Genomic DNA, 27,946 nt, shown 5'->3' on the forward strand with positions numbered 1-27,946 from the left:
CAGCATCTATAGCCAGAGACGGAAGGTCCACTTGTCTGGTCCTATTTTCTAAATGATTCCTTCTCTTCTAAAGCCCACTTGCGTATTTTATGTTTGTTTTCCCTCTATTTCTACAAATGTCCTCATCTAAAAGCTCTTTAGGGGGCAAGTCTTTCTTTGTGTGTCTGTCCGACAGGCAGGAGGGGCTGAATAAACCAACCTCTAAGGTAGACATTAAAATCTGATGTAGCCCAGATGCCATAAGCCGGGGCCATATGCCTATGCCTGTACAGACCATAGGGTCAAAAGCATTTTCAGTTTTACATGAAATTAAAACTTGAATTTCAGGAGTTGCCTTTTAATGCCACTGCTTTATAGGAATTTTAAATGAAAGGTGTTTCTCAAGTTTATAATGAATTCTGTGATACTGGGCAAAATATAAGTCTTAAAGTGAACCTCTTGTGTCTTCTCAGGATAATAAGAGAGTTTTAACTAAGAAAAGTAACAGGCTGGGTACAGTGGCTCACACCTATAATCCCAACACTTTGGGAGGCCGAGGCGGGCAGATCACCTGCGGTCAGGGATCAAGGTACGCAGCGTTTTCCAACTTTCCCTAGTGAGAATGCCACATTCAAAACTGTAGAAAGGTTTATACTTTCTCCATTTATTAACTAGAGGAAATCCCCAAATATTTAGGATTCATATTACGCTTTGAAAACAGATGGGCTTCAGTGCAGCTTCCAAAGGGATGCACACTCCTCAGGGGAACGTGAGCTCCACGCGCAGCTGCCAGTAGCCATAGGTACTTTTGAATACAGAACGATCCTTCAACTCTGGGCAGCAGCCTGGCCTGCAGGACTGAGCCGGTGTAATGACTCAGGAATGTGCCAGCTGGGAGGAGGTGGCCCAGTGAGTGTTCCTCGCTGCAGCCTAGATGAAGTCACTGCACGCTCAAAGTTCAAGATGGTCACAGAAAAACCCCTTTTTAAAAAGTCTGAACTCTTGTACTTGTTCATATGATCCAGTGTCCTCTTTCTGGGAAGAGGGACTTATTATTGTAGCTTCTAACAATAGTGAGGCATAGTAAACAGAGATAAAGTTCAGCTGGATGTCCCAGAAGCAGTGAGGAAACCAGGCCACTTAAAAACAAAGCAAAAGGCTGAGGCAGAAATGGCTTTAGGTTCATTTCTATAAGAGATGCTTCCCAACTCCCTGTTCCCCAGGTGCTCACCTGTATGGGCTGCTAAGCAACGTGGACAGGGGAAGTCTGTCCCATTCTATGCCCAGTGCTATGGACTCCCAGGAGCTCCAGCTACCTTGCTCCCCAACATGAGCCAGGCTGGAGAAGATGACCACTGAGAACCCACACAGCCCTCCGTAAGAGAGAGACGCGAGGCAAGAGAGCCTGGGGGAATCCACAGAAGAAAAACTAGACTGGATTTTGGTTAGGTGATAAAAAGGAGCATGTCCCTGGGGTGCTGACAGATACTTCTTTGAGGTGGTTAGGACAGACCTCATCACAGTAAACCATTTCTCACAGCCCTGATCACTGCAGAGCAGTTCCTTTTCTCTGTACCCTACAAGTGGGTGGCTGATAATTCTGGGTTCCAGTATAACATGGCAACAGCCAGAATCTGCCTCTGGGGCGGGATCTGTCAGGCTTCAGGAAGGGTACACAGGACAAAACCCCTCACCTCCACCCGTCCAGGGCAATGAGCTCATCCAGAAAGGCACCATGTAAGAATGATTCAGTCTGGAGGCAGACACTTAATCTGAACCCTGGTCCTCAGTAGTGACCTTAGGTGAAATTGGGCCCGTGTTCCTCAGTTCCTGTGTCCGTAAAATGGAGTAATAGCCTACCGCATAGGGATGTTGTGAGGATCAATTAAGTTAAAGTAAGTATCAAGCTTAGAACAGCACTTAGCACATGGCCAGCACTCCATCCATGTGGACTATGCCCCTGCAACAGGATCCAGCCTCCCCGTCCCTTGACCCGGCATAAATGCGACCACTTCTGGCTTTGTGTCTCAGGCACTCCTTTTGCCACTTAGATCTTCCGGTTCTGGAGCCCATCTGGCATGTAGGTAATTAGCCTTTCCTTCAAATACTAATTTCCCCATGTAAAAGGAGTTGTGTGGTGGAAAGGATGTAACACAGAGCTGGAACTGCTTCAATGCTATAAACCACGCTCTAGCATTAACTAGCTCTGTGTCTTTGGGCAATAAACGTCACCTCTCTAAGGACAGTTTCCTCATCTCTAAAGTGGGGGTAAGGAAAGTCGCTGCCACGCTTTTTGGGTGGAACACAAAAACTGTGCACGGAGAGCCAGGTATAATCGTAGGTACCAAGACATAGTAGGAATCATTACTATTACCATCATATAGGTCAACATTTATGTTTCTGCCGCTTATCTCCCCAAGGCCACAAAAGCACCTTCTATTATCATCCTCACTCTCTGTAGAAGGAAATTTGTCCAATGGCAAAGTCATAGGCAAGGGAAAAAGACCCACTAGGCAGGCAGGCAGGAAAACACGGGTCCCGACCCAGGCTCTCGGCTAATGGATGTGTGACCTCGCACAGCTCCACTGCCTACTCTGGCTTCAATGTCTCAGGCCCAAAGTGAAGGCGCTGGACTTGCAGATCACCACTGTCACTTTCAGCTCCAAAAGTCAGTCACTTCAAGCATATGACCACCTCTTCTACCTTCTCCCAGACTAGAGGCTCCTTCTAGAGCAGATGGCTCCATAGGACCTGCTCCTCTGGAGAGGGAGGTCTCTGGTTGGAAGGGAGACGGGGAGACCCCACAGGTTACCAGGAATGGCAACGGACAGCCGTGGCTGATGGAGAGCTGAGCAGCCATGGCCAGGGCACACCCGTGGGCACTACACAATGGCCCTGGCCAAGGGTGGGAGCTGGCCTGGCTCCCTCTTCTGCTCATATGTTTTTTTTCCTGGGGTGGGAGAACCTAACTCTGACTTCTACTCTTGGGAAAACGGTAGAGCATTTCCCACTACGGTCTTTCGGCTAACTGCTAACTGCTACAAATGAGGCCCCCCTGCCCCGGGCCGCAGAGATGGACCCTGCCATTAAAGGACCCTTACTCAGTTCTGAAAAATCACTGACCGTTCCTTTCTTATATACTTTTCCTTCCTGTTTCAGACAACTAAAATGCTTGGAATCACGAACAATTTGATAGCTGTATGCCGAAAGACATGGCAGAATACAAAGTCTTAACCGTTTTTAAAAGGATTTCTATTTTGCTTTCTTATATATGTCAAGAAAGGTGCCAACTGATTAACACATACATATCAATTGGAATTCTAAAGCTGAAAAGCCAGCACTATGGGAGACTCCTTTTTAAGTGACTTAGCTTCAGGCAAGAGTCAGAAGTCATATCCCTTTCATTTCAAAACATAAACTGTATGAAACAGTCCTATAAAATTAACGTGTGCTATTTATCCTCCATTCCTCAGTAAATTATTAAAATCAAGCAGTACAATTCTCTCATCAGTTATAAATGGCCCTAGAAGGCAGATTTACATCTATCCAGGGGCAATTTCTGATGAGTATTTTTATTAATGATCTAATAAAATGTCTTGTTTTGTTATCAACTAAATGATTCAAATGATGTTTTAAAATCTAATACTCCAACCCAATAGTCTGGTGATTAAGCTACTGAGATGACATTAATTTAAAGTGATTTGCAATTTTATTTGGCATTATCAACAACACCATGGATAGATTTAAATTTTTTTAAAAAAATTTTGCCTCCCATGCTGTTAAAGGCAATATTTTATAAGGTTCAGTAAAACTGAGCTGATTAGCATGATAATCACCAATAGCAAAGGTCAGGGGTGAGAGGTTCTGATAAGATAAATTACTTGGCAGTCAGCCACGCACATCCTAAATTGACAGGTGGGCTGAAAGCTTGGGTTGTGAGAATAAAGCTATGTCAACAACAAGAATGACCCAAACACGTCCACTTTCACTCCTCCTAATTTCCTGACTTTTGCTCCAATCTGCCATTTAGCAGAGATGGGCATTCATAAAAGGAAGTGCTGAACCATCTCAGGCCTTTGTGATATGGGCAGGAATGAAAATGCAGACCTTCTACGGCTGGCTATGCGGAGGAGAGCAATAACCCTATGCTGTGTGCAGATACGACCCCTACTCCCACCCCAGGAAACCAAGGGCCCAGGCTCTTAACAGACCTGATGGATTTCTGAGGTAATAGGTAAAGCTGCATCAATTCTGCAAAAATAATTTTTCCCAGAACCCAGAATATTTGCTTTTTCCTCTCTTCTCACCAAAACTCATGCTTCTTGAAAATAATACTCATTAAACATCAGCTAAAACTAAAGCACTTAAAAAGGAGTCACATTGGCCAGGCATGTTGGCTCACAGCTGTAATCTAGGGAGGCCCAGGCGGGTGGATCACCTGAGCTCAGGAGTTTGAGACCAGCCTGACCAACATGGCAAAACCCTGTCTCTACTAAAAAAAACAAAAATTTAGCCAGGCATGGTGGCGGGCACCTGTAGTCTCAGCTACTCAGGAGGCTGAGGCATGAGAATCACTTAAACCCAGGAGGCTGAGGTTGCAGTGAGCCGAGATCACGCATTGCGCTTCAGCCTGGGTGACAGAGTGAGACTCTTGTCTCAAAATAAAAAAAAAATTTTAAAAAGGAGTCTCTCACATTGCTGACCTCCCAAACCAAAGAATTCACGTTAATATACGTTTGCTGACACTTGTTTATCACTGTGATTACTAACAGCCAACTTTTATTGAACCAAGCACTGAAGTTCTAAAGTGGTAAGGCAATTCAGACACCTCTAGAACCAACCCTTGTTCACAACCAATTGTCCAAGGTTGAAGTACTGGACAATGGGGGTGGAGAGGGAAGGCAGGGAAGGAGACCTGAAGATACTCTTACTGCCCTCCGGAAACTTATTAACACTGGAATCAGGAAATACACAGATATAATAAAGACCTGAGCCACTGAAGACCATAACTAGGTCATTGAGAACTCAGTGCCCTGATGTGGGTAGGGCAGGACTGAGGGGTGAGAATCTTGAGAAAACCAAGATAAGGTTTTATCAGGGATATGATATCTGGGAAGTAAACAGACGGTTAATTCAAATGGGAGAGTTGTAGCTGAGGGGGGAGAAAAGGTTGACGTTTTTCTGCATCTGTTGTATAACCCCAGATGGTCGCATAAAAACACTTCTTAATAGAAGTCAAGAAGGGTGGACCATGCTGACACTGCTTATGTTCTCAGCAAGACAGAAGTGGCTGATAACCCTTTTCTGGCGTGTGCACGTGTGTGTGTCTGTGGTGTGTGTGTGTGTGTGTGTGTGTGTATTTCTGCAAGTAAAAATGGAAAATGAAGGGGCGAGTGATTTTTTAACCCAGGCATATCTGCTAGCTATATAGTATGATGAATTTCAAACAGAAGAATTAAAACTCACCTTATGTTCTCACAGCCCCTCGTACCCATTCGAATTCACTTTTTAACTCACAGGATTATTTGTGAACTTTTTATAATGGTTTACGAGGAACTAGAATGACCCTTAACTACTTTAAATATGTTAGGCACTCAGGAGACTTGGGAGCTCTCAGTGTACAGAAAGCCTGGGGTAGGATGGAGCTCCCCCACAGTGAGGGGGTAGAAGAAGGCGGGAGGACCAGAATGTACCCTGGGGATGCTATCTGCCTGAGACAGGCAAAGGGGGGAAATCTGCCAAAGAGACAGAGGACAAGAGACAACCTGCCACAGAGATAACCTGCCAAGGGCGAAGAATGAGGGGGGATGGTCCTAGAAGGCAAGGGCGAGGACAGAATGAGGGTGGCAATGGCCCACAGGGGCCAGTGGACGTCATTGACAGTCACAGCCTGAGAAACAAACATTTCCCCCTAAAAAGAAGTAATGAGTCCAGCAGGAACTGAAGTCAGTCTTGCCGTGGCCCGAGATACACTTCAAAATGTTGCGCGCTGCAGTTTCACTAGATTCTCAATTTCTCAACCCCAAACATTTAATTAAAAGAAAAAAGTCCCAAGCAGTACTTTATCTGAGGAGTCATTACAATAAACAGGCAGTTAGTACAAGGTCAAGATAAGGAAGAATGTGAACAATACAATGGTGTAGATGCTGTGGAGGGGCTGGGCAGGGGGCTGAGGGAAGGAAACGAGCCGGACAATGCACAGATGTCTATGTTTTCGCTGCCAGGAGTTCAGACAAACAGGAAGACCTTAAACTTCTCCAACTGGGAACACTCGGTTTTGCCTGATGAGCAGAGGGGCTGAGCACATGACTAGAACACAGAAACAGAAGGTTGTCATTAAGGCTACAAGACTCGCTCCACACAGAACCCACACCCAGCCTCCTTCTCAGGAAAACCCGGGCCTTGCTCACCTTGCGCCCAGGTTATGCTCCTCGGCCTCACAGCCTTTTCCCTTGGGCTGCTCAGTGAGGTTTTCGGGCACACTCACTCATGGGACCCAATAAGCCCAAGACACCAAGTTTCACAATTTTAGAATTTCCTACTGACATCTAGCAGAGAATTTATGTGTATACAGCTTCTAAGTGGGAACCAAAGAAAAAATGTCTGGCGTAATTATTCAAATGTCATGCTCTGTTCCAACAATAATATCACAATGGAGGTATAAGAATTGTTAGATATCCGGCCAGGCGCAGTGGCTCATGCCTGTAAACCTAGCACTTTGGGAGGCCAGGGCAGGCGGATCACTTGAGCCCAGGAGTTCAAGATCAGCCTGGACAAAATGGTGAAACCCCACCTCCACTAAAAATACAAAAATTAGCCAGGTGTGGTGGCGGGCGCCTGTAGCCCCAGCTGCTCAGGAGGCTGAGGCACAAGAATCGCTTGAACCCAGAAGGCAGAGTTTGCAGTGAGCCAAGATTGCACCACTGCACTCCAGTCTGGGGGACAGAATGTGACCCTGTTCTCAAAAAAAAAAAAAAAAAAAAATTGTTAGACATCCTCAGAATCTCAAAAGTTAGGAATCTCATGAAATGTTTTCTCTTTGGAAACAGTTACATATTTTTCTCCCTGTTGAGTATTTTTTAAATGTTTGAAACTATGCAAACAATAAATATTTCTTGAAATAATTAAAACTTCAGAACATTGTGTGGATATTTAATACTTGGTACTCCTTGAGTATTAAAGGTAAATGTTTCTAGATATAACAGGGTTTCTCAACTTCAGTACTTCTAACACTTGGGGCTGAATAATTCTTTGTTGCAGGGGCTGGTCCTATAAATTGAAGGATGGTTAGCAGCATTCCTAGCTTCTTCCCACTATATGCCAGTAGCGCGCTCTCAGTCGTGGCCAAAAACAATGTCTTTAGACACTGCTGAATGTTCCCAGGGGACAATCCTGCTCCAGAAGGTACTGCTGTGGTTTAGACCCAGGGACTGAGATGAGCGTCAAATGCTGACTATAGGACACACTGGCAGAATAAAGCAGGGCAATCACTAATCTCCCTATGCCTCAATTTCCCCAGCTATAAAATGAGGATATCTTATAGGGTAGAGATGAAGACTAAATGAGAGAATACATGTAAAGTGCTTTGCATAAAGCACTGTAATGCACAGAGTAAGCATTCAGTAAATGGTAGCAATGATAATGGTTAAAGAAAAGTCACAGATCCATAACCTTGGAAAAATGAATTGAGCAGGTCATTCATGGGGTCATTAATAAGAACGAATGCCCACACAGCTCACATCTAAGCAGTCTGTACAGGGCACAAAGGCTAGTGTGTTAGAAACACACGGCCACTTATTAACACTCACCTTGATAAAAATCAAGTTGTTTTCATCCCTTGGAGGATAAAGTGGGGAGTAAAGAGAATAAAGAGAAAAGAGATGAAATGCGAAAACGGATACAGACTAAGGAGAAATATCCTGACACAAAGAGGAAAAGGTAAAAGTGTGCACCTTCTAAAAACTGCTTGAAGACACAAGTTAAAATAAACATGCTGCGTTTGGGAATAGGATACCACAGTGAGAGCTGGTGAGTATCTAAATAGCTGAAAATGGCCACTGCAAGGTGCAGAGGACAGTTGTGATGGAGCTAAGAAGAAAAGTAATATGGCTCAACACCAAGGAAGTAGGAAAGTGTGAGCACGGTAGATAGAGCCTCCTCTCTGGTCAAGAGCTGCCTTCCAGCTTCTTCCTATCTGAGCCTGCTGAAGAAGGCAGCAGAGCCACCCCAGCCTCCCCAAGTCCAGTGCCAGGGGCTTCAAACCTGGGTCTCTCCCACTAGCTGTTCCCCGGCCCCTCAGTAGGAAACTGAACAAAGCCCCGCTCTCTGCCTCTTCTGCTGGCCTCTGTAGCCCTGGCCCCCGCCACCACTCTACAGAGCACTCCATTTTCTTGCCTCCCCACTCCTCCCCACACTCCAAGTTTGTGTGTCACATACAGGCTGGGTGTGGACGGACTCACTGGAACACAAATACTGTGAGTCAATCAGCACTCAAATCTCCTTGGGTTTAGAAATAGTCAGTGACTTTTTCCGGTAGCTGAAGTCTGAAATAAGCTGTTAAAAACAATCATCTTGACTTTCTATCTGACTCATAGCGAATGCAACATTAAATTGAAAACACCTCCTAATTAGCCACTCAGAAATACAACCAAGTCTTTGTGAGACAAAGCCTGGCAATATTTACTGAAATACTGTCTTTGCGGTCTTCTTCTGAACCCATGTTATACTTACATCCCAGTGATATGCAGTTATCTATTCTGTCATTCAAATGCACCAGATCGTTCCTTCCTCATCAAAGTAAATTAAATAACCCAGAATAGCAGTGGGCTTGTGCCTAGTGCTTAAGGCTGCACACTTTAACATTCAACAATGTGCCCCAACCATCTGTAATCTTCTGAGCCCAAGTTGGGTCCACACAAAAACCCAGTGGAGGCGAGTGATTTTTTACCATGATATGCTATTATTATGTTATTGTCAATTGAATGCACTTCAAAAACCAAATGAAGAAGACAAGACAGACCTCCATTCTTTCCTGAAGGCTACACAGCACCCTCCATGTGACCCCAACATCCAATCAAAGACATCACCATGGCGTCGCTTTCCCGGGGAATTTTCACAAGATAAAAACATCCATAGCCCAGCTTGGAAAAGAAAACTATTTGATGCCAATGTGGAAGGACCCAATAGGTAGTTGAGGTTAGAAATTTGAATAACAGGCAACAAATACAGAGTTGACTTAAAATACCCTAAACTATTCTGAGAAACTCCAGAAGGTTGAATGTTAAATTCGCTTTGTCAGAATTAATTTGGGAAATATTTGGTCCTGCTTGAAGGAGAACTCCAGTTCCCCGGCCAGCATTTTGTCAAGTCACCATTTCCATTGCTGGCTCATGTCAGTGAGCAGTGTGAGTGACTAAGTGTTCCTCTCCTGCCTCAGCTGGGAAGATTAACATGGGGCCAAACGCCTTGGAGACAGGAAAACAAACGAACCCAGTTACTATGTTTTTAACTCAGTTCTGTCTGGAAATCAGGAAGCAAGACTCTGAAGATCAAGCTTCGGGAAAGCTCTTAATGCTGATGAGGAGTTTTTTTTTTTTTTTTTTTTTTTCCAAAAGTTCAAATGAGAAGTCACTGAGAGCCTAGAAGTAAAGAAGGCTAATAAATGACAACCGCACTTGCAGATTGCCCCCTGGGTGGTACAGTCAACAGCCACTGCTCAGAATGACTTTTAACTCAAAAGGATCAGAAATTTGGACCAGCCTCCCATCTCGTTATTTCACCAGACCCTTTTGTGTTCACGAACTTTGTATATAAAGTCCTCTGACTGGAAACAGATCTAGAAGGCCAGTTTCACTGCACTTCTAATGAAGTCAAGGGACGAAGGATTTCAGATTTTACTTCACAAAGAAAAAAAAAAGATTGTGAAATTTTCAACTTGTAATATTACAACAGTTTCTAGTCCCAGCAAAAGACAGACTAAACAACATCATTCAGCTGGGAAAATTAGCTACCCATCTTGGTCCCCACCCTACCCCAAGCTTTATTTATTCAGATACATGGCATTTACTGAACTGCCTGGATAAGAACATGAAGTCAGCAACACCTCTCGTTCTGAATCCTGAGGAGTGTAAGCGATTAAGAGTAACATCCAATGGTCATTGATCTCTACTGTTTATTTCTCGTTTCTCAGTTCTGATAACCCTCCTTGATTTTCTGAACCTGGAGCTGCCAGCTATTTTCCATCTCTGAACCACCACTATCTGTCTAAAATTGGATCTCTCTTTGGCTTAACTGTGCTCCCAGTAACATAAAACAATACTGAAATGCTTAAACCAATGCATTTCTTGTGGGCACTTAGTCACAGAACTGTACCTGCTATGGGCTTCCAAGTTCTATTGTTCTAACTCAACTCTGCTGACACACTCTCCATTTTATGCTCTAAGACTCCTTTATCGCAGGGGTCCCCAACCCCCAGGCCACAAACCAGTACCGGTCTGTGGCCTGTTAGGAACTGGGCTGCACAGCAGGAGGTGAGTGGTGGCAAGCCAGAATTACCACCTGAGCTCTGCCTCTTGTCATATCAACAGTGGCATTAGATTCTCATAGGAGCACAAACCCTATTGTGAACTGTGTGTGCAAAGGATCTAGGTTGCATGCTCCTTATGAGAATCTAATACCTGATGATCTGAGATAGTTTCATCCTGAAACCATCCCACCCCATCATACATAGAAAAATTGTCTTCCACGAAACAGGTCCCTGGTGCCAAAAAGGTTGGGGACCGTTGCTCTATTGTATTCATGTTAACTCATTACCATGTTTGTACACTGGTTATAGAATGTGTTTCTGCAGCAATAACTAACAATGATGGTGCCATTTAGAGGCCCTACCAAAGCAGCAGGCACAGTTATGTATGTGTACCCACTAAATGCACCACCCCTTAACTCCCTCACAGCTGTCAGGTAGGTGCTATTATGTTTCACAAATAGGAAACTGAGGCAATGGCCATTTAAGTGTATCAATAAATATAGAGCATTCCCTTCAACACCCAAGACAGTCACAAGCATCCACATTCAAAAGATGTTAATAAATACCAACAACCAAGATACGTCTATTTTAACCAGCCTAATGCTAACAGATAAAAACAGCTTGTTTTTTGAAAGCCAAATGTTAATTGGCAGAGCCCTGTCAAAGGCAAGTATTTTCATACTTTAAAACTTTTCCCAGGTATGGTAGCTCATGCCTGTAATCCCACCACTTTGAGAGGCTGAGACGGGAGGACTGCTTGAGGCCAGGCGTTCAACAGCCTGGGCAACATAACAAGACCACGTCTCTGAAAAAAAAAAAAAGAAAAATTTAATTAGCCAGACATGGTGGCATGCGCCTGTAGTCCCAGCTACACAGGAGGCTGAGGTGGGAGGATCACTTGAGCCCAGGGGTTCAAGGCTGCAGTGAGCGATGATTGTGCCACTACACTCCAGCCTGAGCAACAGAGTGAGGACCTATTTCTAAATAAATAATAAGAATTAAAAGTTTGCGCAGACCAACACCTGGAATCCTGTAGCAACTGCCTTCATAAGAACTGAAAAGGACTCTTACTGATGACCTCGCTTTACTGTCACAGTATTCCTGTGAAAGGTTGAAAAGCAGAGAGAAAGTATAACACTTTTCCCTGAAGCATGAAGCCACACATTGCCCCTGGAAAGCATTTTGCAGCCTAGCAGTAACAGGGGGTTGGTGCAGGATGGAGCCAGGCCACGCAGCAAGGCTGGCATGTAGCATACGGGAAGCGGAGCTTGCAGTGAGCCGAGATTGCGCCACTGCAGTCCGCAGTCCGGCCTGGGCGACAGAGCGAGACTCCGTCTCAAAAAAAAAAAAGAAAATGCTCACAGCTTTAAGAACAGAAAGCATTACATGACGAGACAGATGAAAGAATTTGTGAAACAAATCACTGAATTTTTGCAATATTAGAGAGTCTCAAGGAAGGAAATCATCTGACAGACTGAATCATAAATTTGTGCAATGCAAGAATTTATAAAAGCATCAGGGTGTGAATCATACCCACAAAATGTTTTTTAATATCTTTGCAAAAATCAGGCTCATGAATGTACCAACTCTTCCAACAGCACTTGTCTTTTTATTTCAGGTATTAACTGATTTACAACTTATTTTAAAAATTACAATAAAATCTACCTGCAAGACCAAATTTGTGGAAACTGGAAGAAGGGAGAGAAAATAAACTAGTTCCCAGAACAGAAGATTGGGCAAATGCCATTTTGCCCATGCCAAGTTAAGCCATAAGATCCATCAGGCACATTATTTTTAGTAAATTACTCAAGGACATTCCAATTCATAGCTAAACATCATCAGTAAAATTTTTTCAAAATTGCAAATAATTTTTTTAAATTTTTAATTTTTTAATTTAAAAAATGAGTTTCTCTGAAATACCAAGTGACTGTTAAAAATAATGAAAAAATTCTAACCCATGTCTCTAATAATCAAATTATACCATTAGTATTTAAAAACAGAAAATTAACCATTTTTGGTTTCACATATACATGTGGCTTTAGTCTACTGTTTCTCTAATACTTCTTGTAGAAGCATAACCACTAAGAAGGTTCACATGAAATCAGGCTGAACCATAAACAGTCATCCCAAGAGATTTGTCTACACACGGAACAGGGTGCTGGGGAGTGAGTTCTCCCTAGATATGATGTATTTATTCATTTATTCCCTTCCTCAAAGCGTCCATCATGGAGTGAGGTCATTTGCCCTGAGTTCTACAGCAACTGATAAGGCCTTGTGAGTCAGTGGTTCTTCCCAGAAGTTCCATGCTCCATGGCTGCTGACTCTGTACCTATTGGGTCAGGCCTTATTAATCACTTTTATAACATGGAACCCAAACTGATCATAAGACTCTGACCACACAGACTCATCCTTGGTCACCAACAACACCTGTACCTGCCAGAGAATTCCATATGCAAATATGAAGATATGACTGCCCATTTATTCTAGAAGGATTAGGATTGTTTCTTATCAGGTATTGGGTGGCAGAAAGAATGCCCCATAGCCCCTGCCTTGACAACGGTGTCCCTTCAACTACAAGTTTACTCATTTCATCACCAGCAATGCAAGGATTTGAGTAAGCAGAGGGTAACATTTCTTTGGCAGAGACTGCTAGGTTCCTACCCAATACCCATTCTCCCCTTCTTCATTAACAGAACCTATGGCCAGGCCTGGCATAGAGTAGGACTCAGCAGAGGCACAAAATTTAAGGGGGTGCAAAATGGTTTAATCATGATAAATAATATTTTATTATACAATATTCTTAAAATCAAAATTTAAAAATTCACAATGAGCCGGGCATGGTGGCTCACGCCTATAATCCCAGCACTTTGGGAGGCTGAGGCAGGCGGATCACCTGAGGTCGGGAGTTCGAGACCAGCCTGATCAACATGGAGAAACCCCGTCTCTACTTAAAATACAAAATTAGCCGGGCATGGTGGTGCATGCCAGTAATCCCAGCTACTGGGGAGGCTGAGGCAGGAGAATCGCTTGAATCCACGAGGCAGAGGTTGTGGTGAGCACAGATCGTGCCACTGCACTCACTCCAGGCTGGGCAACAAGAGCAAAACTCCATCTCAAAAAAAAAAAAAAAAAAAATTCACAATGAACAAAACATCAATTTTTAAAATAAAGATAGCATCAGCATTCCTTTCTTTTTGCCTCAGGTTCCACTATGGCACTGCTATACTGAAATAAAACATTCTTTACCTTGACGATTGAGTTTCTTGGTGCCCCCTTAAATTATGCACCAAAGGTGAATGTCTTACTCACCCCACCTCAGTCCTGGCCCTGAATAAAACCCTACTTGATGGGGTAGCAATGGGCCCGGCTCAAAAGCCTACATTTCTCAACCTCCTCTGCAGATACAGTGGCCAATGAGATGGGGATGGACTTCTGTGAAAGCTCTTAAAAGGGATCTGACTCAGCTTCTTTCTTGAGACAGGGTCTCGATCTGTCTCTCAAGCTGGAGCACAAGTGGTATGATCTCGGCTCACTGCAACCTCTGCCTCCTGGGCTCAAGCGATCCTCCTACCTCAGCCTCCTGTGTAGCTGGGAGTACAAGCAGCACCACCATGCCCGGCTAATTTTTTTTTTTTTTTGAGACAGAGTCTCACTCTGTCACCCAGGCTGGAGTACAGTGGCACAATCTTGGCTCACTGCAACCTCCACCTCTCAGGTTCAAGTGATTCTCCTGCCTCAGCCTCCTGAGTAACTGGAATTACAGGCACGTGCCACCACACCCAGCTAATTTTGTATTTTTAGTAGAAATGGGGTTTCACCATGTTGGCCAGGCTGGTCTCGGATTCCTGACCTCAAATGATCCACCCGGCTCAGCCTCCCAAAGTGCTGGGATTACAGGTGTGAGCCACTGCGCCCAGCCTAATTTTTGTATTTTTAGTAGAGATGGGGTTTTGCCATGTTGCCCAAGCTCATCTCGAACTCCTGGGCTCAAGCGATCCACCTGCCTTGGCCTCCTAAAGTCCTGGGACTACAGACATGAGCCATTGCACCTAACCCTGACTCAGCTTTGACCTTGGCTTTTCTCCTGCTAAGAGATGTGGCCATAAAGCCTCCTGTGGTCATCCTACAGCCATGGGGGACTTAGGGAATGAAAGTCCTGTGCTATTGATGATGAAGCAGAAAGACAGAAAGAGCCTGGGGCCCTGATGACATCATGAAGCTAACACCGTAGTCCACCTGCTTCGGGATCTCTTCTGTTACCTGGAAACAACAAAACTTTTAATTTGTTTAAAGCACCATCATTAGGTTTCAGTTAATAACTGATACATGCAGTTCTTCACTGAGATACTATGAATCCTTTTTTAAAAAACTGAATAATAAAACCATCACCGTCATTTAAATGGGGCTGTTCTAGAGAAATGCCACCGAGATGCCACTTTTTCCATCTTATTAACCAAAACACCAGCCTTTTCACCCTGACAATTCTAGGGTCAGTTTACTATTACCATGATCATTTCACTTGCCTTTCAAGTAATGTCAGAGGCAAAAATCAGGGAGGGGCAGGGATTAGAAATGTTTTCCCCAATGGTGAGCCAGGCTGACAGCACGTGGGCCTGCTGCACGTGGACAAAGGGACACACCGAGTGAGGCCCGTGGTGCCAACAACCCTGTCGTGCTGCAGACTGGGCGGTGGCCACTGACTTCAGGGACCATCTCTTGTCCTCTCTCCTCTCCCTCTCTGAGTCCACTCACAGCCTTACCGATGTGGCCGAGTAGACCAAACCCTCTGCCTCCTCAGGATGCTAAGGATTTACTGCTCTACGGGGGTGAAAACTAATTCCTTAGGTCCAGGTCAGTGCCGTCAGCTTTTCACAAACCAAGATTCCAGAAGATATCTCCCCCATTCCTGATACTGCTCCCAATAAAAGAGAAACATCACTATATGAAGATAGAGGCTGAGGAGCACTGAACATTGAGCCTTCACCGTAAGATGTTTTTAAAGAAATGAAGCTCTGTTCTATCTATTAGGTATGAGAGTAATGCCAACCATATGAACAAAGTGCTGCCTGGTGAAATTCCTTAGAAGACTTATGACAAATGCATATGAGAAGAAATGGTAATAAACAAGTATTAGTTTGTAAAAGTCCTGTTCACGCTGTGAGAGTAGGGGATGGGCGGTGTAGGATGCTATGGAAAAGGTAAGTATAAGCACAGCTCTTCTATCACCTTGAATGAAAGACAGAGGGAAAAACGCCCTCTATGGCTAGAACAATGTCAGTGCTTGAACTAAAGGTTTATAATCTGGTCAGAGCACCCTTTTAAGCAGAAGAAAAGCAAGCATCATTTACATTTCTGCCTGCTTGTAGGGGCTAAGTCATAAGCCATGTGCCAAAACCTCATCTGCAGGATCAGCTCTGAAAAGAGAAAAAGAACTCTGCCAAGCATTTATCAACACCTGAAATTGTTGCTTTTCATTCCCAGAACTGAAGCTGTTTTATTGAATTTTTTAAACCTGAGGTCCACCACTCCCCTCCAAATCTACAGGCCCTGCCTCGGGTTTTAAACCATTGCTCTAAGAAAGAAAAAAGATGCCAGAGATGCTATTAGTACAACAGAGGAGTGGAGGCCTGAGCCCTCCTGCAGCCCAGCAGAGATGCCAAATGCTCCAGGGAGGAGCTTCGTGCGACCTTCCCGGACCACTCAGGAGAGCAGGGCTCCACAGGAAGGCCCAGCAAGGAGACACATCCAATCACCGATGCTGGGGCAGGGAGAGGAGGGATATGACAACAACAAGGCTGGACCCACTGCCCCAGGAGGGTACATGTCGGAGGCTCTCAGGGGTCCAGAGACCTGGCTGTACAGTCCCCTGGAGTCCCTCCTGGAGGGACAGCAGAGGGGGCTCTCAGGAGCCGTAGGTCGAGAGAACAGGAGAGGCGGCCCCTGGGCCTGGGCCCCGCAGTGTGCTCCACAGAGAGGACAGGAAGCACAGGCCTCCTGGGAATCACCATGACGCCGAGAGGGAGAAATGGCCGGGAGTCCAGGGAGCTGCTCTGCCTCCAGCCGTGTGTCCTCGAGCAGGCTGCACTGCTCTTCCAGGGCCGTAGCAGGCTCCCCCACAAAGGACAGGGCTGTGAGCAAGGGAGCGGCTGCAGGACCCTCACAGCACCCGTGTCTATGACTCCCCCATTCCGCGGCCTCCACCGCCCTCCCCAGCGCTGACTCACTCTGGTGCCTTGTGACTGCTGGGTTTTCTTTTCCTGACTCAAAGCAAAATAGGAACAGAACAGTGGAACTCCAGACGTAGGGCCCATCTTCCCTCCTTCCCATGTCACTGAAGCGGCTCCAGGTCCTTGAGGGAAGCAATGGCTTTAGCTTTGGCTTCCAGTCCGTCACCGAAGGCCCAGGGCCTTCTCAGCCCAAACAGGCAGTGTTTTGTCAGGAGGCCCCATCAACAGCAAATGGTGCCATGAAATCACAGCAAGCTCCTCCACTTCCAGCCACCTTGCCGTCCTGGCAAAACTCCCCGGACCTGCCAACATGTGTGGGAGCGGGTAGAGGCAGGGGCAAGGCCTGGGGAGAAACACTGCCAAAGTCACACGGCCGCCTCAACTTCAGCTTTGCAGATCTTAGAATATTATTTTTTGCCCTCTACTGTAAGTTGACGGCAAAAACTTAAAAGCTTTAATGGCATTTTGTCATAAGCTGAACAAGTTTGTTGGAATGTACGGAAAAAACCCAACGACTTCTTAGGAGGAGAGAAAGCCCATTTTCTAGTGTTCTAGAACTGGTTCCATTACATTTTCTTCCTCTGAATCCCACAAGAGGAAATGAGGCTTCATCTGAACCCCAAGCCACGCCACAGGGTCAGACATCAAGGAGTGGTGTCGCCAGAGCAGGCCATTTGCCGAGGGGCTGCACGGACAGTCCTGAACTGGCACTACGCTGAGCGCCCACGTAGGCAGGGTCCTGGCCTTCCACCCACCTCCTCCCTGAGCAAATCAGGGAGGACAGACACAGACACTGACAGACAGACCCCCCTCAGATTCCCCAGATCTGGAGCTGCCTCCCTTCCCATCTCACCCCCTGCTGCCTGCCTCATCTCTCAGTGCCTCCCAAAGGGAAGAGGGGATTGTCCACGATGGCTAGTGTGAGGGGAGGAATAAAGGAGAGCAAAGACGACCTAGGACCCCCTCTCCCACCAGAGCCACACAAAGCCAGAGCAGCCAGGGGACACTAAAGGGGCCAGGAGAGAGAAGGCCCCTCCCTCACCGTCAGCCCCCAGCGCTGTCTCCTCCCAAGCCTGCTCCACCTGCTAGCTCAGCTCCCACCCCAATGCTGATGCTGCAGTAGGTGGGTGAGGCTGAGACCCACTCCCCACCAAGCCTGTGGCTGGGGGCGCCTCTGGAGCTCCTATCTAGCCCCGACACTGCCGCATGGCTGTAGCTTCCTTACGGCAGGGGGAACACCTTGGGGAAGGGCAGGCTGTGGCTCCTCCCAGACCTGACCTCAACATTTCACATGACAACAGGTGCCGGACTCTGACACGAACTCATAACAATCTATAGGTTAGTATCAAAATCACAAGTGGGAGCCCCCCAGTCTCAGAGTTCTGAGCATCAGAATAACTGTTTATGCCCTACGGGGACCTAGGCATTCTCCATGGGGACATGGGAGTCACATGGCGTGTGGGACACCTGTGCAGAGGTATTCCTGGCCTTTCTTCTATGAAGACCACCAGTCACAGCTTCCATACCAAAGCTAACTAACGCTTATCAGGAGCCCATATCAAGAACAGGCCAATGCAAGAGAGTCTCAAAAAGGCCCCAGTGGCTGAACGTGATCCCATGGAGAGTGGGGGGATCAGAAACAGCTAATGGGATGCAGAACTCATTTCGGGGCTGGGGAGGGGAGGATGCCGTACCAAGTGGGGCTTGGCCGTGGCACTGTAAATGGCTGTTGCCCCTACTGTCCAGATGCAAGCAGTCGGCCGGGCGCCCAGAAAAAAGACCCATCCAGAGGAAAGCCCTCCAAGAAAATAGGCGAGTGTCACTTACTCTTTGCCTCTGGGATAAATCTCAACAACTCATAGAACCAACACAAGTTCTGGCCTTTTTCTCTCCCAAACATGGCCTTGTCTAATTTGTTCTCCAAGAGACCACAGAGCCCAGTAAGAACTCTGGCCTCTCAGGGAATGGTTTTATTCTTCCCCAAAGGGAAAAACTACCTACATCCTCATGAAAATTTTAAATGACCAAAATGATTTTTACCTCACAGTTTCCACATCTGGGCCATTCTTCTGCCCTTAGAATTCTCGTAAAGCCTATTCCATTATTTTAGGACAGTCTCAGTTATTCATCAGCTAGCTCAGGGCTGTGTTTTTCTGAATTAAGTCATTATGTCTATTATACAATGTTCAGATTCTACCCAGCCATATGCATTTTTACCAGTAAAATCACAATATACAACACTTGTAATCTTGTCCTTATATAAGTGCCACCACCACCATGCAGCAAAAACGTTATAGGATGACAATATGACAAGAAACAGCTGTCAAACACTGGCTTTTTTCCAGCTTCAGCCAAATTCAACAAAAATTGAGCAGGGTAACTTCCTTGTGTGTCCGCCTTCAGTCTTCCTTAAAGCCCTGAAGATCACAGAAGCGCTCCAGCCCCTTGCTCCTCTAAGTGTGCTCCCTGGACCAGCAGCGTTGGTGGCACCTAGGAGCTTGTGAGAACTGTGGAAGTTCAGACCCCAACCCAGACCCACTGAATCGGAATCTGCATTTCACATTCACAGGCACATTAAAGTTTAAGAAGCGCTGCTCTACGACTGTCCTCTTCCCACTCATTCCCTACACACATGCTCTGGCCCCAGATCTGAGATCCACCTCTGCTCCCTGGAGGCCACTGAAGCTTTCTCCGAGGGGCCCAGCTGCCATAGCAACATCACTCTGGCTGGCATTCCACCCACCTGGCTGCACCCTGGCCCCATCAGCTGCCTCCCTTGACCTGCCAAGGTGATGTTTGTCCCAGATGGTTAGAAATGTGCAAGGCTTCTTGCCCCCCAAAAATGGTTATTCGTGGGAAAAAAAAGATCTATTTTTAGGTGTCAATTGCCAGCCCATCCTGGCTCACCCAGTCTCTCTCCTCCCGCTTTGCCCAATTAGAAAGATTATATTGTTTCCTGGCATACAATTCCAAGGGCATTGGACACAGGCAAGGGACCTGGAGAAGAGATCCAAGAACAGCTCTTAGTGAATGGAAACAAGATGATTTCTGCTCAAAGCAATTTCCTCAGCACCCACTCTTTCCTCCCACACGGACCCCACGTTAAAGAGGCGCCAAGGCCACATGGAAGTAACAGAACACTAACATGTGCAAGACATATTTTTCACCCTCAAAATGTAACGGAAAGAAGGGAGAGCTAATCAGTTAACTCTCCCTTTATCCCACCCAAGTTGAAAGCTTGATATTCTAATCCCAACTTCCCAGATGATAGAGGTATACATCCAAGTTTATCTTAAGTGGAAGAGTGTGCATTAAAAGGATATAAAATGCGAAAGCTTCTCATCTAGCTCAAATTCTGACTTTTAGGGGAAACCTGGAAATGGCCATAAACGCATGATTTACCTATCTTGGGGCGCTACAGGGATGGGGAATGTGTGAGGCCATTTCCCTTTTCTTTGCTCACAGTAGATGGCACTACTTCATCACAGTACTTTCCCCCACTCAGCCTAGAGGCTGCCTTAGAATCTTCTCAATAGAGCCCCTAGTCCTGCGGCATCTCAGCCATCTGCAACTCCTGAATCAGGATCTATGTTTTAACAAGATCCCCAGGTGATTCACAGGCACACGAAAGCTTATGAAAGGCTGATGTGGGCTGCAGTCACCTGATGTAGATTGACAAAGTGAGACACACTTGCTGCTCCTAGTCTGTTATTCTGGGGGTTCCAACGTTCATGTCTCAATTTCTACTCCTACTTCTCCAAAGATTTCAAACTGAAGCCTTATATACAACAGGTGGCTCATTAAACATTTTTTTAAATTAATAGCAAACATTCAAAGATTGGAGAATAAATGTAAAATTGCCAGGTTCTTTGCTTTTCTAGGGGGAAAAATCTCAGTGCATCTATCAATACTGGGCCCACATGTCAACGTGACAACAGGTGATTAGAGGTAAGAAGTGGCTGCTCTGTTAGACACAACACAGTATTCTAGTTTGTCCCAGTCTCCAATACTTCATATTGCCTCACACCATCCTGTCTTACTCATTCCTGCTATCTACCTGAATGTGTGACTATACCACAGGAGAGACTACAGTTGTGTCCAAAATCAACAACAACAACACCTGCCCATGACACCATCACCTGCATCTGCTTATTCTTTCCACTGACTCTGAAGGTGAGAAGCCACACCTGCACGGGCACAGTTTCACTTTCTCCATATGATCCCTGTGTGGGGACAGGAGCACCCACAGTATAAGCTGCCCCTTCATATAGTCCCATTGTCTTTGAGATGCACAGGTTGCCTCAGGTCTGCAGCCACACACCACGTATCCTTTGTACTGTCCAGTGACCTAGCACCAACCACACACCAGAAAGCATAATCCTTAAGAGCATGAGCCATAGTCTGCAACCTACTTCAAATTCCTAGCTCTGCTCTCCAATGGCGACATAATGACCCTAGGCAAGGCACTTGACACCTGCTATGGTTTGAATGATGATTCCCACCAAAATTCATGCTGAAATCCCCCACAAAATGGTATTAAGAGGTGTGGCCTTTGGGAGGTAATTAAGTCATGAGAGTCCCACCCTCACGGATGGGATCAGCATCCTTCCAAAAGGGCTTGGGGTTGAAGGGAGTGCCTGTGTACCCTTCTGCCCTCGGCCACGTGAAGACACAACAGCAAGGTGCCATCTTGGAAGCGGATAGCAGCCCTCACCCGACACCACTGCTGGCACCTTGGTCTTGGACCTCCCAGACTCCAGAACTGTGAGAAATAAATGTCTGTTCTTTAAAATTACCCAGACTGAGGTATTTTTTTATAGCAGGAACTAAGTGAATTAAGTGAACGAAGTGAACCCCTCAAGACAACCCTTGAAGCCTGTTTCCTTATCTGTGAAGTCGGAGGTGGCACTTAGCTTACTATTTCACTGACTTACTCTGAGAAATAAAAGATGGTAAAGTGCTTAGCATACGGTATATCGTATGCACTCAGTTAAGGTGGTTACTGCTATTATTACACATGGTGCTCAACAGGTGTTTGTTAACTGACTTTTCCATCATCTCAGACTATCCCACCTTGTACTGAAACTGAGGACTTCCAAACCCCCCACACCATCACCCAGGGATGGGAATGAGGCTCTGCAGTCTGTGGGGTCTCCGGACAGGCTGCCCACATCAGCATCTGAGTTGGTGGGATGCAGTCCTAAAACCACATAGCCTGCTAAGCCACACTGGGCATTTTTCTTGCCCCACTAACAACTTCTACATGAACCAGGCAAGACTTTTGCTTTTTTTTTTTTTTTTTTAAGTTAGCATTTTCATTTGCTTCCCTTCAAAGTTATTAAGATATATTTTTAAATTCCATTCTGGCCACACAAATCTCTCCCTTCTCTGATCTCCCACTGTGCTTGGTTAGGACCACACAGTCGAGCATTTAATGTTCTCTCAATATTTCATATAGGCTGTATGAGTCTCTACAAGAATTCTAAATGGCCTCCAGAGGTGACTGGCAGAGTGTGTTACCAATGGAAGTTTTTAGAAGTGCACACACGTACACAATTTTTCTTTCAGGCAAAACAGACTTTTTTTGCACTAGCAAAGTGCTAAGCAATGTAATCAACAAAATACATACTATGCCCATCAATACCCACTGCCTGTACGCTAAGAGACATGTTTTATGTTAACTGAACTACGAAATGGAACTCTTCCAGTTTTCTTTGGTATAATAAATGAAAAAGGACTGAATTGGGTCACTGTCTTGTTTGTTTGTTTCCTTAAAAAGGGACTGGAGATGATGTCTGTCTGGGCTGCAGCATTTTATCTGCCAATGCTGCAAAACTGATGGAAAAAACATGATGTATCTTTCCAAAAACAATGGTTTCATGCAAGTTCCTCCTTTCGGTTCCAAAATATCAGTCACTGATTGCAACAGGCCTCAGATCCTGGCCTCAGCCATCCTTTTTAGGAACCACCATAGCCTCCCATTCATGGCCTTCAGAACACATAGGGCCACCAGCAGGAACTGGCAGAGAGGGGCCCCACACTGGTGATGGTAGGTCTCTGAGATGGGAGGCCGGAGAGATGCGTGGGAGAATTCCTGGCACCTGTGGTCCAAGGCATTTATTCAAGCATCCTGTCACTGCTGCCTCTCTGTAACCAGCTTTGACTTGTTGGAACAACTACCAATGTCACTGCATTAACCACAGCCCTGGACAACAGCTCCTCCTCCTTGGGGCAGACAATGGCTTATTGAAGCGGCTCTCTGGGGCTGGTTTGGAATGAGCTGCTTGTCTGAATGAAAACAGCCCTGCTGAGCAACCCCTAACTTGCTATGGGGACACGGGGGGTTTTCATCCCACATTCTTGGCCTTTAACAACCAGGAAGCCCCAATGTCTGTGACTTACCTGTGTCCTTCACGAGTGGACAATGCTGACCTCTAGCAGTGCCAAAAGGAATTATGGAAGCGTTTTAAGCACAGCCTGAGGTCTCCATGAGGGAAAATGGCATTAATATGAGCATTAAGAACAAAGGAACAGAAAATCCTTTACCTCCCACTTAGAAGATAACTTGTCCCTTAATTAACTGCTTGATGTATCACCATTGAGTCAGCAGCCCCACGTCCCCAGCCATCCATCACCGCCACTTCACCCCAGACTCTAAATCCTCCGCCTTGAAAGAAGTCTAAGAAGACCTCCACTAGCCCGAGTGAAGCTGGGGGAGGTAAGACATTTGGGCAACTAGAGGGAGGGGGCGAAGGTGGGGACAGCATCTTCTAAGTAGTCACTGACAGCAAAATAGGAACTCACTGACCAAGGCCCCATGGTCTTAGGAGTGTTTCCTCTGAAGTTTCCTGCCCACTCCTGAATTACCCAAAGCGCAGCCCTGGGATGTGGGAGCCACTGAAGAGATTACAGAGTTCATATTTCAAACCGCACAGCCCACTTGCTAAAGCCGTTTCACATTTACTCTGGTGTGGAAAACGCAAAGTCAGTCCCCGGCCCAGTTCACTCTGTCAGGAGCTCATGACTGAGCTGGTCACAAAGATTTTGGGGAAGGAGGTGGGGGTCCCTTTCATAAACTCTTGCAGTGAGGTGTGTGACCAGCCTGCCACCTGATAAATCAGTTACTAAAACAGATCTCAGCCTTCCGGTGACTGGGGATCCAATAACACTCAAGAGGGGGAAGAACATAAAACATAAATCCATAAAATACTGTGCTGCAAAAGCCACACAAAAGAGAACTTTCAGTTCAGACTTGCATGGCAGGAAAATGGTCATAAGTAAAGCAGCCTTGGAGTGCCTGCGACCTGATTAGGAGGAGGGCAGCCGCTAGCTTGTGCCCACCTAGCCTGAAGATGGTAGAAGCCAGAACCACAGTGGTTAAGTTACATTTTTTTTATAAAAAGCATCTCACTTTAAAAAATATCTTTCTATGGTGGAAATAATGTTAGAATACCTAGAGTTTGAATTATGACAAGGGTCCATTTCAAAAGGGAAGCCATTTGCAACTGTAGAATCCTTAAATTACAGGAATTTAATAGCTCTGCGACCCTTTGGATTTGTTTTAAAAGACCACTGTCATTAAGCTTTTTTTTTTTTTAATGTCATTAAGCTTTTGTCCAACTCCTTCCACATCCTTCAAAAATAAATTCTCCAGCACTATGTGCCAGCTCTGATCTCCAGCAGGCCTCACATCACCCCAGGGCTGGCTTTCCCCAGTGGGGTCCCTTGAGAGGCTCCAGTTTCTGAATGGGAAATGCTGCTGTGACCACACCAGTAGGCCAATCAAAGAAGCCCACTCTTACAGAGCTGCCACATCCAAGCGCCCTTGTCCCTTTGTCCCCTTTGTCGAATCCACAAGCAAAGGCTGCTTGTAAATGGCTTCCTGGGACTTCCAGGAATCACCCTAGTGGGCTTCTCCAGCTCTGCTGCTCTGCTTGCATCCCGGGGGCTGGGAGGCTCTGACAGAGCTGAGCCTTCCCCCTGATCTGGGCAGTTCCAGCCAAATGGATTTCCTGCTGAAGCCCACCTCCACGCCGTGCTCATGCCACCTCTTCCACCCTCATCTCCACATGCACACCTCTCGCCTGCCCTTCAAGAGACAGCTCAAGGCCACCTCTTCCAGGGAAGCCTTGCCTTTCAGACTGCTTCTCCCACTGAAAGGGGTCTGGTCTCTATCTGGGCCACTTTGATGGTATAGGTACTCTCTACAGCCTGGTGGACTTCAGAGGACACCTTTGCTCCCTTACTAGACAGTGCACATGCACCCTGAGGTCCAAATCCTCAGGACTCACCTTCACATCCCCTACAGGGCCTCACACTCAGTGAATGCTCCTTAAGTGCCAATGGTGATATGGAAGGTAGAAAGAAATTACTTAGGCAGATAGTGAGGGTAAAAGAGTCCTCTTTTAACAAAACGCAGCCCAAGAAATTATTTTTTCCTAACAAAGAGCAGCCTGAAAAATCGAGCTGCAAGCAAAGACAGGCAAGCTGGAAGCTTGCATGGGGGAATGCCAGCAGCTGTGTTAAAGGAATAGGCAGCATGGTGCAGGCCAGGCAGAGAACCTACCTGCATAATAAAAGATGGTGGGGGGCTACCAGAAATTTGCACCCTATGCAAATGGCACACCTGGTCCAACCAATCTTTTGTGCCCTATGTAAACCAGACACCACCTCCTCACCCGGCATCTATAAAACCCTTTGCATTTCACCGCAGATCGGCAACCTGTTTGGGACCCCTCTCTCTGCAACAGAGACAGCCATTCTCTTTCTTCTGCCTTTTAAATTTCTCCTCCTAACCTCATTCCTTGTGTGTCCACGTCCTTGATTTCCTCAGTGAGACAACGAACTTCAGGTATCACCCCAGACAACGAGGCTGCTTCAGTGGGAATCTCCCTGGGGCTCTGTCCCTACAAGCAGGGGCACAGCATGCATCCACAGAGCTCTCTGGGCTCCAGGTGGGCCTCCACCTGGCCATTCTCCCTCACTGCCCCTCTGAGAGAGTGCGGCACAGTAGGAGAGCCAAGCCCTCAGCCTTGTCCCTGAGAGAATCCTCAGACCCCAGGCCTGGCCTTCTGGCTGCAGGGATGAGGTCAGGAGCCAGCAAAGCCCAGGGCAGCCCCACTAGGGCTGCAGGTCCCAGAAATCCCCAGGATACAGGGGACCAAGGTGAGGCTGAAGAGCGACCCTTTCCTCAGCAAGTCAAGTCACCTTCAGGAACACACAGCTGGAGGACTAAGGGAGACAGGTGAGATGTGTGTATAGTGACAAGGACAAAATAGGAAGATTAGAGCAAGACATCATGCCATTGCTGCACGTGAACTAAAGGCAGAGAAGATGACTTGGGACGGGAGGTGGAGGGGAGAGTCTGACTTTGCCTTTGATTGTCTCTTGCAATTCCAGGTGGAGATAGCAGAGACTCAGAATGGTGGAAGTCAATCTACCTCCAGTGGCAGATATGCCCAGGTGAGAGGGGCAGGCTGGCAAGCACTCTTCCCTGGCTCTAGTGAAGGGCACTGAGGGAGTGCTGAGGACAATCACTGACCACCCACCAGTGCCAGGACAGCAATGGCTTGACCTGCCCATTCAGAGTCCCTTGTTATGGCAGCTTCCCACGTGGCTGTCTTCCAGATATAGTTTGTCCTCTTACTTGAAGCCCCCAACCTGTGAGAACTTCAACACCCCAGCTGCTGTAGACAGTAAACTCCAAGAGGGGATCATGTGTCTCTCCCACAGGCAACACTGCATCCTTGCACAGGCATCTGGCACACAGAGCAGGTCTGCAATAAATATCTATTGCACGACACCTCAGAGGGTAAAGCAGAGCTCAGGTCTTTGGTTTTGCATCATTACAGGTAGCACATTTTGAACACAATATACAAAAGCAAATCGGCTTCAGCACTCCTGAATTGACATAGTAGGGGACAGGGGTAGACATAAAAAAAAATCTCTAAATGAAAACTAATAGTGGCTTTCTTATAGGGCTACCATTTTTACAGTAAAACTTTAGCTGGGAAAACCTCTGTTGTGATTTTTGTTAATAGGATGTATATGTAGCAGTTGTCTGAATCTTCAAGTAGCTGATCTGTGCGGATGCAGTGACGGAGCCACAGCTTGCTGACCGCAGCAGTTTTAAAGTGACTCATCAGCAAGGTCAGGCCACCTTGGTGGGAAACTGGGGCCAAAGGCAGAAAAGTGTGCCAGGAAGTCCCAGGCCATCTTCTTACACACACACACACACACGTATACACACACACACCCCAAAACAGAAAAAAAAATCCAGCTGAAATGAACGTTCCAGCCTGCATTTAACTCCATTTTAGTCTGCTTTTCAGTAACCAGGACAGCGACAAGCTTTTCTTTCTTGTCTTTTCTTTTTTTAAAAGAAAAAATTCCCTAACCAAAATATGGAATTCATCTGCATTGTAATCCCAAGTGGAGAGTGCACGCATTTCCTCTGGATCGTGCATCACTCACTCCCACTCTCTCTCATTTCTCATGGACAATGAATGGAAACACTCCCTTGTAGGAATTTCAACCGCCACTTTGAGACAGATGTTTTGGAAACCACTGACAAGCTGCTTGTCACTGTGAGGCGGATCATACACTTTCACAGCCATTTGGTCCAAAACCACGCAGAGAGCGCTTCTTCACGTCCAGCTCCAATACGATCTGCAGGGTATTAGATGGCTGATACTTAGCCACTTCTTCATGTCCCCCTTACCCAACACATTCCCCATCAGGAGGCAACACCGAAGGCTCTATCTCAGCAAAGTCACCATTGTCTGCTATAGAATCAAGAGTAGGATTTCTCTGTGAAGATCCAGCATGGTCCAAGCCTTCAATGAAAACACTACTTTCAGGAAGAGAGTTAGGCACTTGGGAAAGAAAATGAACATTTTTAAGCCACCAAGGTACTGTTCATAAATGTCTGCTAGGCAAATGGGGACCTCATGGCTTGAAAGAGTTATTATTCAATACTTCCCAAGCACCCACATAAGTTCATGTTTCTCCCTGAGGGCCTCACTTGCTCCATGAGACGAACTCACTACAGCGTTCATCTTGTTTAAAAAGACTTGGTGTGATGCGTGGAGGCCGATCATTCGAGCCACCTGGATGTGCTGTGAAATAGTTTCTCAAGCAGTCCCAGCTTTTCCAAATGCACCTATCAAAACAAACCTAAGTGCCTGTTAAATTCACTCTTTAGGAGACCTACTTT

The 27,946-nt window shown here is 46.2% G+C and overlaps 1 protein-coding gene across 6 annotated transcripts in view, besides 4 other annotated features; it reads right to left on the bottom strand.

The window, feature by feature from the left end:
- LHFPL2 (LHFPL tetraspan subfamily member 2) overlaps nucleotides 1-27,946 on the bottom strand; it is a 163,543-nt gene that overhangs the window by 32,571 nt on the left and 103,026 nt on the right. The window lies entirely within an intron of this gene.
- Nucleotides 3,766-4,060: a silencer, noted in NCBI's record as "tiled region #4833; HepG2 Repressive DNase unmatched - State 7:EnhWF". NCBI's record gives its function as "represses a minimal TATA promoter and a strong SV40 promoter by Sharpr-MPRA in HepG2 cells {active_cell/tissue: HepG2}" and the evidence as "EXISTENCE:reporter gene assay evidence [ECO:0000049][PMID:27701403]".
- Nucleotides 15,160-15,659: an enhancer, noted in NCBI's record as "H3K4me1 hESC enhancer chr5:77828783-77829282 (GRCh37/hg19 assembly coordinates)". NCBI's record gives its function as "activates a minimal SCP1, AML or CMV promoter by ChIP-STARR-seq in naive H9 embryonic stem cells {active_cell/tissue: H9 hESC(naive)}" and the evidence as "EXISTENCE:reporter gene assay evidence [ECO:0000049][PMID:30033119]".
- Nucleotides 24,846-25,665: an enhancer, noted in NCBI's record as "OCT4-H3K27ac-H3K4me1 hESC enhancer chr5:77838469-77839288 (GRCh37/hg19 assembly coordinates)". NCBI's record gives its function as "activates a minimal SCP1, AML or CMV promoter by ChIP-STARR-seq in primed H9 embryonic stem cells {active_cell/tissue: H9 hESC(primed)}" and the evidence as "EXISTENCE:reporter gene assay evidence [ECO:0000049][PMID:30033119]".
- Nucleotides 25,666-26,483: an enhancer, noted in NCBI's record as "H3K27ac-H3K4me1 hESC enhancer chr5:77839289-77840106 (GRCh37/hg19 assembly coordinates)". NCBI's record gives its function as "activates a minimal SCP1, AML or CMV promoter by ChIP-STARR-seq in primed H9 embryonic stem cells {active_cell/tissue: H9 hESC(primed)}" and the evidence as "EXISTENCE:reporter gene assay evidence [ECO:0000049][PMID:30033119]".

This window comes from Homo sapiens, chromosome 5, assembly GCF_000001405.40.
Source record: "Homo sapiens chromosome 5, GRCh38.p14 Primary Assembly".
Classification (NCBI taxonomy): Eukaryota; Metazoa; Chordata; class Mammalia; order Primates; family Hominidae; genus Homo; species Homo sapiens.